We start from the raw sequence: 12,663 nt of genomic DNA, 5'->3' as shown, positions 1-12,663 counted from the left end.
CGCGATCTCGGCTCACTGCAAGCTCCGCCTCCCGGGTTCACGCCATTCTCCTGCCTCAGCCTCCCGAGCAGCTGGGACTGCAGGCGCCCGCCACCACGCCCGGCTAATGTTTTGTATTTTTAGCAGAGACGGGGTCTCACCGTGTTAGCCAGGATGGTCTCGATCTCCTGACCTCGTGATCCGCCCGCTTCGGCCTCCCAAAGTGCTGGGATAACAGGCCTGAGCCACCGCGCCTGGCTGAAACTCATTCTTTATACAACTTAAAAACGTCTAGCTATTCAGAAGCGATCACACTCATGCTTATAACCCATATTTTAATCTCGAGTCTCAACTTTAACCCCTAAAATCGTGAGTAGAGAACAAAGACCAATTAATTTCCAGAACCACTTGAAGCAAACCTTAAATTTCCAACAGCTCCTTAAAAGAAAACAGCCTTTTCTATGTAAAACATTAACTGATAATTTTGAAAGAAAAGTTATTATCTAAAATACAGCTTCTGAATTGAAGTTGAAGGACAAGAAACGGTCCATGCAGCCAGGCAGCAAGGGAGTACTTGCACCACCACCCCACCAACCCCAGGCAGTGCAGCTCCGGGAGGTTCCTCCCTACTGCTTGAGGAGAGGAGGGGAAGAGTAGAGAGGACATTGTCTTGCAACTGGGATACCAGCTCAACCACAGTAGAATAGGGCACTAGGCAGACTCCTGAGACCCCCACTCCAGGGCATAGCTTCTAAACAACATTTCCAGGCACACCCTGAGCCAGAAGGGAAACCACCTGCCTTGAAGGGAAAAACCCAGTCCTGGAAGGATTCATCACCTGCTGACTAAAGAGCCCTTGGGATCTGAATAATCAGCAGCAGTACCCAGGCCGTTCTCACTGTGGCCCTTGAGTGAGACTCAGAGACATGCTGGCTTCAGGTGTGACCCAGCACATTCCCAGCTGTGATGGCTACAGCAAGAGACTCCTTCTGCTTGAGACAAGGAGAGGGAATAGCAAAGGGGACTTTGTCTTGCACCTTAGATACAAGCTCTGCCACAGTGTGGTAGAGCACCAAGTAGATTCTAGGGTTCCCTGATTCCAGGCCTTGGCACTTGGATGGCATTTCTGGACCGGCTCCATACCAGAGGGGAGCCCTCTGCCCTAAAGGGAGAGTCCCAGGCCTGGTAGCATTTACCATAAGCTGACTGAAGAGCCCTTGGGTCTTGAATGAACACCAGCAGTAGCCAGGTAGTACAGGCCTCAGGCAGTGGTGGCCTCAGGGAGAGACGACTTTACCTTTGGAAAGAGAAGGAAGAGAGGAAAGGACTTTGTCTTGTGGCTTCAGTACCAGTGCAGCTGCCATAGAATAGAGCCCCAGGTAGATTTCTAAGGTTTCTGACTCCAGGCCCTGGCTCCTGACTGGTTCTCTGGATCCACCTGGGACCAAGGGGAAATCACTGCCCTGAAGGGAAGGACACAAGCCTGGCTGGCTGCCACCTGATGACTGCAGTCTCAGGGCCTTGAGCAAACATAGGCACTAGCTAGGCAGTGGTTATCACAGGTCTTGGGCAAGACCCAGCGCAGTCCCAGTAATCCCAGTAATGATGGCCACAAGGGTCCTTGTGTCACCCCTCCCCCCAGCTCCAGGAAGCTCAGCAGAGACAGAAAGACTCCAATTGTTTGGGAGAAAATAAGGGAAGAGAAAGAGTCCCTGCCTGGTAATCCACAGAACTCTTCCAGATCTTATCCAAGACCTCCAAGATGGTACCTGTAAAAGTCTGCAAAAGTCACAGTGTTACTTTTAGGTAATGCAGATGTGGCTGCAGTGACCAAAAACTTAGATTACAACATCTAAGTCCCTTCAAATACCTGGAAAGCCTTCTGAAGAAGGGCAAGTACAAACAAGCAGACTGCAAAGACTACAATAAATACCTAAGCCATCAATGCCCAGACAATGACAAACATCCACGAGCATAAAGAAGGTCCAGGAAAATATGACCTCACAAAACAAACAAGTAAGGCACCAAAGACAAATCCCGGAGAGACCTTTTAAAAGATTTATGACCTTTCAGACAGATATCAAAATAGCTGTTTTGAGGAAACTCAATGAAATTCAAGATAACACAGAGAAGGAATTCAAAAACCTGTCAGATAAATTTAACAAAGAGATTGAAATAATTTAAAAGAATTAAGCAGAAATTGTGGAGTAGAAAAATGCAACTGACATACTGAAGACTGTGTCGGTGTCTCCTAAGAGCAGAACTGATCAAGCAGAGAAATAATTAGTGAGCTTGAAGACAGGCTATTTGAAAATACACAGTCAGAAGACAAAAGAAAAATGAATAAAGAACAATGAAGTACACCTACAGGATCTAGAAAATACCCTCAAAAGGGCAAATCTAAGAGTTATTGGCCTTAAAGAGGATGTAAAGAGAGAGATAGGGATAGAAAATTTATTCAAAGTGAAACCAACAGAGAATTTCCCAAACCTAAAGAAAGACAACAATATTCAAGCATAAGAAGGTTATGAAACACCAGGCGGATTTAGCCCAAATAAGACTACCTAAAGGCATTTAACAATCAAACTCCCAAAGGTCAAGGATAAAGAGGGGATCCCAAAAGCATCAAGTGAAAGGAAATAATACACAAACGAAGTCCAATAGGTCTGGCAGTAGACTTCTCAGTGGAAACCTGATAGGTCGGGAGAGAGTGGCAAGACATGTTTTAACTGCTGAAGAAAAAGAAAAAAAAAAAACTTTTATCAAAGGATAGTATATCCAGCAAAATTATCCTTCAATCAAGAAGAAATACTTCCCTAGACAAAAACTGAGGAATTTCATCAACAGCAGACCCTGTCCTACAAGAAACACTAAAGGGAGTTCTTCAAGCTGAAAGAGAAGGATGTTGATGAGTAATAAAAAATTATCTGAAGGTATAAAATGCACTGGTAATACACTGAAAAACACAGAATATTATATTACTGTAATTATGTTGTGTGACCTACCTGTATCTTAAGTAGAAAAACTAAAAGATGAACCTATTAAAAATAATAACAACAACTTTTCAAGACATAACAGTAAGATACAAATAGAAACAACAAAATATTAATAATGAAGGGACAAAGTTAAAGTGTAGAGTTTTTTTAGTTTTTTTTCCTTGCTTGTATGCTTACGCAATCAGTGGTAAGCTGTCATCAGTTTAAAATAATGGGTTATTAGAGATTATTTGCAAGCCTCATGGCAACCTCAAATCAGAAAACATACAACAGACTCACGAACAATATAAAGCAAGAAATTAAAACAGCGCAGCAGAGAAAACCACCTACACTGAAAGGAAGACAGCAAGGAAGGAAGACAGGAAGGAAGACAGGAAGGAAGGAAGGAAGGAAGGGAGGGAGGGAGGGAGGGAGGGAAGGAGAGGAGGGAAGGAGGGGAGGGAAGGGAGGGAAGGGAGGGAAGGGAGAAGAGAAGACCAAAAGGCAACTAAAAAACAAATAACAAAATGGCAAGATTAAGTCTTTATTTATCAATGATAACACTGAATGTAAATGGGCTAAATTCTCCAATCAAAAGACATAGATTAAAAAAAAAAAACCTAATATTCCGTTGCCTACAAGAAGCAGACTTCACCTGTAAAGACACACAAAAACTGAAAATAAAGGGATGGAAAAAGATAGTTCATGCCTATGGAAGACAAAAATGAGCAGGAGTAGCTATACTTATATCAGACTTGAAATAGATTTCAAGACAAAAACCATAAAAAGAGACAAAGGTCATTATATAATGATAAAGAGGTCAATTCGGCAAGAGAACATAACAATTGTAAATATATATGCATCCAACACAAAGCACCCAGAAATATAAAGCAAATATTATTAGATACAAAGAGAGAGAGAGCCCCCATTACAATAATAGCTACTGACTTGAAAACCCCACTTTCAGCTTGAGACAGATCATCCAGAGAGAACATCAACAAAGAAATACTGGAGTTAATCTTCACTACAGACCAAATGTACCTAATAGATATTTACAGAACGTTTCACCCAATGTCTGCACAATACACACTCTTTTCCTCAGCACATGGATCATTCTCAGGAATAGATCATATGTTAGGCCACAAAACAAGTCTTTAAGAATTCAAAAAAAATTGAAATTGTATTAAATATCTTCCCTGACCACAATGGAATAAAACTAGAGGTGGATGGGGGAAGTGTGGATGGTTAATAGGTACAAAAATATAAGTACATAGAATGAATGAGATCTAGTATTTGATAGCACAACAGGAGGACTATAATCAACAATAATTTATTATACATTTTAAAATAACTACTATTGGATTGTATGTAACATAAAAAAATAAATGCTACAAGGGATGGATACTCCATTTACCTTGTACATATGTATCAAAATATAACATGTACCCCATAAATATATATACCTATGTAACCACAAAAATTAAAAATAAAAAAAAAGAAATGGTCCATGGTTTTTATTGTCATTGTTGTTTGTTCATTTATGTTTTTTTTTTATTATGGTAAAATATACATAAAATTTACCATTTCAACCATTTTAAAGTATACAGTGTATTGGTGTGAAGTACATTTATAACATGTGCACCAATCATTACTACCACCTTCAGAGCTTTTCATTATTCCAAACTGGTCAGTGATTTTCATTGAAGTTTTTCATTTAGTCCTTTATTAACTACAGAAACCTTCTGTTTGTTGACTCAACCAAGGCCTATCAGGTATTTTAGGGTTTTTTTTTTTTTACTTTAAAGGTTTATTAATAGTCTTTTGTTCTCTGCTCACAGTTGCTGCTTGATTGACTACCACAACATTCCGATTAAGAGGCAGAAAGCAATGATCAATGTTCCCTTGCTTGCTTTGTGGCTTGTTTCTTTGAACTAATCTCAGTATTAAGTTAATCCCTTTGAGGTAACTTAACCATCAAACATGAGAATTTTAACAAGGAATCTTTGTGGTGACAAAACTGTTCTGTATCTTGACTGTATCACTGTCAATATCCTGGTTGGGACACTGTTGCACAGTTTTATAAGTTACAATTAGAGGCAACTGGATAAAGAGTACACAGGATCTTCCTATGTTACTTATAACCATACGCAATTCTACAATTATCTCCAAATGAAAAGGTTTAAGAAAAAAAATAATCAGAGTTTTGGGAGACAGTCCATTGTTGCTCTTTCTCTCCTTTCAGTAAACCTTTCCAATCCCCTTAAATTCTCAAAAAAAAAAAAAAAAACAGTACCTACAGGTTTAATAGTTCTATATTTATTACGGCCTACACACTGAGCTACACACAATTTATGCGACTTTTTACCAACTCTTAGTCCTCTAAAACATTGATTCAGGGCAATTTTACTAAGGTCTAAATGAGAAACTGCTTATAAAATAAAGACACAAGTATACCAGTCCCTCACAAATCAAAATATTCTGATATGTCTAAGCCCTTATAGAAACCAGGGATTTAATAGCTAAATTATAAATAATTTTGTGAAGACCTTATAAATTAATTTGTTAAAAATATTTCCATGAACAACATAAGGGAAAAACACTTAAAATAAGAATATCTATGGTATTATTGTACACAAGTCAATAAGAATAGCACACAATTAATTTCCTTTTATTATTGTTCACTTGCTAAAATCTTTTTAACCCCGCTCTGCTGTACAGATGCAATTTACTACTAATATAATCATTTTTATGTGTTCAAGATCATATGCATACCAGGCAATTTTTACTTTTAGACAAAAGTTCAAAGGCTTTCTTATTCTGTGACCTCCAAACAATGACATTCTGCCTTGGTCTTAGAGACTCAGAATAAGGAAGTTAACAATGGTTAAAGCATTAGATAGCCTTTATTTAGTGTACTGGACCTAGCTAAATAGATATTGTCCACTCCCTTTCTAAATGATAAGACTGTAGAGTCTTGTCATTAGTCTCTCTTACAAGGAGTACTTGTACTGATAATAAAAAGCAATACTGATGATGATTTTAATTGCTAACATTTATTAAGCTCTTACAATGTTCCAGGAACTGAATAAAGGGACTCATATACACCTTTTCAATTTGTCCTCTCAAATCAATCTCTACAGTATGGTAGATTCAAAACGTTACCTCCATTTCATATATATGTAATAAAAGTTTAGATGGATGGGATAAACATGTCCGAGGTGCCACCACGGGCAGAGGTAGCTCAGCCAGTCAAGCCCAGGTAGCTTAACTCCAGAGCCCTTGAGCTTCACATCATCAATATGCAGCACAGCGCCTCTAGATAATACCCAGAAACAGAAGCATGACATGGAGGCCAAGACCAACTTCCTCTTACCTTTATTTACTTTCATTATTGATTCAATGCAAAAAGCCCCTTACTTTGCTGACATCTAATTCATCCTCCTTTATAAAACCTAACCTCTAGTTATCTCATTTGTTAATTATTCTAAGTAGAGTGATGAATAATAATAGCTAGCATTTGCAGAATCCCATTTCACAGAACAAGTACAGAGAATACAGTGTGAGAGGTCCCACAGCAGAAAACTTTGGTTTAAGGGAAGTCTGAGTAGAGAACCTGTACATTCCAAAACCAAAGTGCTTACGGTTGAAGAAAAGTCACAGAAAATTATTTATGCTCAGATTTTATTGAAAGGGAGTATTTACTATACAGCTAAATCAATAGTACTATCCTTTGTTTATATCCTGTCTACCTTTTCAGATATTGTTTACAAAAAATAAGAGTCAATACTGCTTTCAGGTAGACCCCCATCTAACTCTAAAAACTATTTCTTTTAAGTATTTTTAAGTCCTTTCCAACTGCTTGCTTTCATGCACATACTCTTTCAGTTCCTATAGTCAAAAAGTTCTCAGGAAAAGTGAGTGTAAATAGGGATAAGGAATCATATGTACATGGAATCTGAATAAGGAGGATAATATATCCTAAAGATAAAGCACAATACAGTTAGTATTGGTTCTTTTTTTGGCGGGGGAGCTCACTAAGTTTGAAAACATTTATTTGCATAAAACAATAAATGTTCAGTAAACAATTTAATGCAACAATAATAATTTTCTTAGCTTGTTATTACAAAAATATGTGATAGTATAAATGTTCATAGAATAAATTAATATAAATTTAAGAAATCTCATAGATATATATCGGTTAAATACCTGATAACTGAAAAACACTAGCTTTGGCTGGGTTATAACATCAGTTTTGTAAATTATCTAAATTATATTCTGAGTTTTAAAGGGCTAGGTAATGCAAAGTTATAGATATTTCATGGTTATAAAAATAGGATAAGTATCCTTTTCTTAAAGTTGCATAAAAAGCTTTTGGTTTAAAATTGCAAAACACATTTCAAATTAGCCTTTTAAAAATGATTCAAAAACCATATACAGCTTGTAGAAGGAAAATAAACTACTTTTCTAACATAACCTAATGCCTCCTAATCTAGTTTTTGTCTCTAAGTAGGTTCTATTTTTAAACAGGCTCCTTGATTTTTCCCAACATAAATGCACATTTGCACATCCTTCCCTTCACATTGCTCCATGTACACTTGAATTATGGGGTTTTTTTTGGTAGGTCTTTCTCCTTAATTCTCTACTTTTCAAAAAATCTATTACTATAGTCCAAACATTTTTAAGTTAGTGCTTCTGTATTTTAAAGGAATAAATTCCATTTTCCCTTTTAAAATAAATCTACTTTTATTTCTTCTAATCAAGTTTATTCTTTTTGATAATCTCTCCTTTTATGGACCAAAGGCATTCTTTTATTGCTCTTTGAAAGGCACTATTTATATTACCTTAGTTCATTTTATCCATGTCATCTATAAACATATATTTTAAAACTTTGAAAAAACAAACCCAAGAAATTTAATTTTCATGAAATCCCCTTTAAATGTCCAACCCTGAAACACCAACAACTCAGCCCAGGAGTGATCTTCAAGCATTTGGGGGTTGGGTTTTACAGTGTTTATTTCTTTATTTCATATTTTCATTATTAGATGCAAAATGTTTGTATTCAGCAGTTATAACTTACTAGAAATTTGCAATTTACTATAATAAGCTCCATTTCAGAGAATCACAGAAGTGTTGTATTTTAAGGAGCATTTAATATATCTCCTGTTAATAATGAGGAAGCTGGGGCATGGATGTTTGACTTGCCCATGACAGGAAATGAAAAAAAAAAAGTAAAAATGCCTGTCACTATAATATCTTTCATGTTTTGTTAATATTCCTTAAAAAATGAGATTTAACATATTCCAGCCCTGGTTTATAGTCCTTTTTCTGTTTTTTCCTCACCTCAAACTATTTGTTTAAAGAAAATGTCTGTATAACATACAGCCTTGCAAAAATGCAATTCCATTACTACAATTTCAACAGATTCAAGTAGAATACACACATTCTTTGCAAAGGACACCATTAATCTCTGAATACCAACATGTATAATTCATCAAAAAAACCCTTAATGCCCTTTAAATCACCCAAAACTTTACAAATGTTATAAATGACATTAAACCCATTTCAAATTTTACTACAAACCACACAGTTGAAATGGCAATTAACTTTTTTTTTTTTTAACTAAAATAGAGTTTAAGATAAGGTCTTAGTGTCTTTGAAAGGGACACAGTCATATTTTCTATATAAAATAGATTTACTTATGTAATCACATAAATGGAACAAATTACAGAGCCTTAATTAATTTCTCATTCATTTTGCATAAACTTTTATGAATATATACTTTGAATTAATAATATAATAAAAGTTATTCTGCTTTACTTTCAACAACAGCTCTTTTCTATTCATAAGGCACAGTCTTAAGAACTGAGCTATTCAGTATGGTAGCCACTAGCCACATGTGGCTGTTGAACACTTGTGATGTGGCTACCCCAAACTGAGATGTGCTATACATAAAATACACATGGGTTTTCAAGACTTACTATGAGACAAAACATGCCTTATTTCCATAACTTTTCCATTATATATTCAAGTTTGTGGATATACTGAGTTAAATAAACTATGCTATTAAAATTAATTTGTGCTGTATCTTTTCACATTTGAATGAGGCTACTAAAATATTTAAAATTACATATATGGCTAACATGCAATTTCTTTTGGACAGCACAGCTTTAGAATCTTTAAATACATGCATTTGCTTATTTATTAATCTATCATGCAAAAAAAAACCATTTATTTAGTTATACTTGTGGTCATCTCATAAAAATCCCTCATCTGACTCTATATTCTCCTCCAAGCACTTTCTCATTTCTTTGTTAAACTTTAAAGCATAACACCTTAAAAGCACTGGCTCCACTCACTGCCTCCACTTTCATACTCCCCATTTCAATGAAATAGCTCTCCTGGGAATGATCAGTGACCTCCAACTTGTCAAATCAAATTACCATTTTTCAGAGTCCTCATCTTACTCATCTTACAGCTGATCATTCCCTTCTTCTTGAAATACTTTCTTCATTTGGGTGCTTAGACACCACCCTCCTCTGGTTCTCCTCCCTTGCCAGTTCTTGCATTTTCCCAACCTTTCTCTGACACATAGATACTGGAATGTCCTGGGCTAAGTCACAGACCTACATTCACTCCCTAAGTGGTCTCATCCAGTTTTATGATTCAAAAACCACTTCCATGCTGAGACACCCACATTTATTTCTCCATATGAGCCATTTCTATAAACTCCAGTCTTTTATAACTGTCAAATCATCTTTTGTCTAGATTTGTAATTGTTATCTCTAACTTAACACATACACTAACAACTTACTGATTCTCCCTTTCCCCAGCCCAGATCTTTCAACCAGTCTTTCTCATCTCAAGAAAAGGACTCCCTTCTTGTAGTTGCACAGAAAAGACTCTTAGACTTCCTTTTGTTTCCCCACATCTAATCCATCAATGAATCTTTTTGAGGCTGCCTTCACAATACACCCAGAATCTGACCACATCTCTTCATCTCCACTGACATCACCCTGATCCAAACCATTTGACACTTCCACCCCTATATCTTTTCTCAGTACAGCAGCTAGTGATCCTATTACTGTAATTATATATCAGATGATTTCACTTTTCTTAGTTTTCATACGACATCTTCAAAATCCATGTGTGTTTTACATATAGCACATCTCAATTCAAGGTAGCCACATCACAAGTATTCAACAGCCACACATGACTAGCGGCTACCATACTGAATAGATCAGTTATTGAGACTGTTTCATATTATTCAAAGTAAATCCTCTGGTCTAAGCTAATGAGTGCCCAATTCACTCCAAGTCAAAGTCAACATCCTCAATGTGGCCCACAATAAGATCTTCCTCCACCCACTGCACCTGTCAAGCTTCACCTCCAACTCTCTCCACAGTCACCTCCAGGCACAGGTGTTCCTTTGCTCCTGCTGGAAGAGCCTAAGCACACTCCAGACTATGGCTTTCACACTCATTGCTCTCTCCCCACCTTGATTGCACCTTCATAGCAATGTAAGCTCTTCCTCTTCTCTACAAATAAGACAGTATTCTCCATTTCACCTTGTCCCCTCTGGCTCCCCCTATCTACTTATCATTACCTGTGTTATAATGTTATATTGTCTCTCTCCCTCTCAGCAGAATATAAGCGTCATGAAGCACTCAATACATATGTGTTAAATAAATAAATGAATAATCAATGCTAAGCATTCCACTGGTTGCCATGTACAAAGACATGGTAATTTTCAATGACTACCTTCGGGGCATCCTAATTACAAAGTAAAGAGGCATGGATGCATAAACACAGAGCCAGGGGTACCAGAACAGGAGCACAAAGCTCTAGAACTGCCCAGGGGAAAATACTCCTAACTACTGAGAGCCAAAGGATAGGCAAATTCAGAAAAATTGTCCAGGGGGAACATCTGGGGCTGAATATTAGCTGGCAAATGGTAGCTCTCCAGGTATAATGGTGACAAGAGTAAGGGAAGAGACAAGAGTTCAGAGAAGAATGTGGCTGGTTTTCAATGAGACTGCAGTAAGCTTTTTACTGCAGTATTGCAAGCATCTCTTAATAAAGCAATATTAGAATCTCTCCAGTGAAAATATTTGCATTATTTTGAACACTGATTAAAACATTTTGTGCAAGATAAAGCAAAGGAATGCCATACACTATGCAAGACCCACTGTGGCACTTGGCATAAAATAAATCATCGAGCTCTAAAATCTGCTGCGGTTGCCGTCTTCAATACAGAGACCTTGCACGCAGCATACAAAAACATCTATAATGTTTACAGCACCTGGATGCCTTCACTATTAAACATCAATACAATCTGTGTTCATATCATCTCCATGCTAATCAGATCGATTACTACTGATATAGTGTCTTGTCACAGTATCGTAATGCTAATCAAACAAATGGAGCTATGGGGAGATGATTCCGATGTATAGGTATTTAATAGCACAAGGTTAAAAAAAAAAAAAAAAGAAAAGGACTTAAGAGAAAACACACAGCGTGCAGTTGAATCACGGGCAGGCAGATTCCATATCGGGTCCTGGGTGGTGCTGTTGTAATTTTGTCAGCAGCCATTGAAAAGAGAATATAATACAGTTTGATGCCATAAAATGGACTTGAAAGGAAAAAGAGATTACTGCTGCTGCTTAACATGGAAGTGGTAATTAGCTGCACAGGTAATTAGATACAGATTCCTAGAATATCCTCATGGAGGCAGTGGATGATGGCAAGAGATATTATCTCTTGCCTGTTGAAAAGGATCAATGTCACAGTTGTTTTAAATCCTAAACAACATCCGCATCCAAAACAATACCCTCCAGACAGCAAAGATGCTGTAGTAGCTGCAGTGAAACGTGCTATCACTTAATAAAAATGAGTGAGGGAACACAGGATGGGAGGCTGAGCAAGAGGGGACATCCCTGCCTCCCTGTGGCTAGCAGGCCTTAGGCCATGTGTACATCTAGCTCAGTTGTCACTTTGTGACACTTACCGTTGTGCATGTGTCCTGGTTTTCTCCTGGTTTTCTTCAGCTAATTTCATTTATAGTGAAATCCTCAGACAAAGACTATAAGGGGATGTGGTGGGGGGAGGTGGAAATCAATGATGGTACCCAAAACAAGGAAAATCCATTAACATACTGTTCCTTTAAATAATTACCCAATAAATTTAATATATATTCAATGTATACATGTTTTGGTCAGAAGCATATATTTCATCAACTGAGATACTCCCACCCTTGAATGTGGAGGCAAATGAAACTTCTTGACTAGGGGCTGAAAATTATTTTCTCCTTCTGGATATATTAGGAAAACACAAGCATTCCCAAGACCATTATGCTGTTCCATGCCTTGTCATCTTCTATTTATTCATTCAGTAAGTATTTATAAAATGCCTACTATGTATGCAGTTCTGAACCAAAGCATACCTTCCTGTACACACTAGGGCCACCACAGCATTGACACTGTGCCTAGACTGCCAGCCAGGGGCCAGATGGATTGCAGTGTGGTGAGTGCTCCTGCTGGCATGCGGAGAAGGCGGAGAAGGCAAAGCAGACATGGTAAATTCTGCATCCAGTTGCAATAAAACCGATAGTCCCAGAGAACATATGCCAAAAGTAAAATTAACTTTCCAGAAAAAAACACTGTATACCTCTTTCTATAGAAGGAGAAACACATTATATAATTCAGATGGATTT

General features: G+C 37.3%; 1 protein-coding gene across 12 annotated transcripts in view; it reads right to left on the bottom strand.

The window, feature by feature from the left end:
* Positions 1–12,663, bottom strand: part of PARD3B (par-3 family cell polarity regulator beta) — a 1,074,688-nt gene that overhangs the window by 717,536 nt on the left and 344,489 nt on the right. The window lies entirely within an intron of this gene.

This window comes from Homo sapiens, chromosome 2, assembly GCF_000001405.40.
Source record: "Homo sapiens chromosome 2, GRCh38.p14 Primary Assembly".
NCBI lineage: Eukaryota > Metazoa > Chordata > Mammalia > Primates > Hominidae > Homo > Homo sapiens.
The sequence above is the reverse complement of the archived record's forward strand: the minus strand, read 5'-3'. Positions and strand labels throughout refer to the sequence as shown.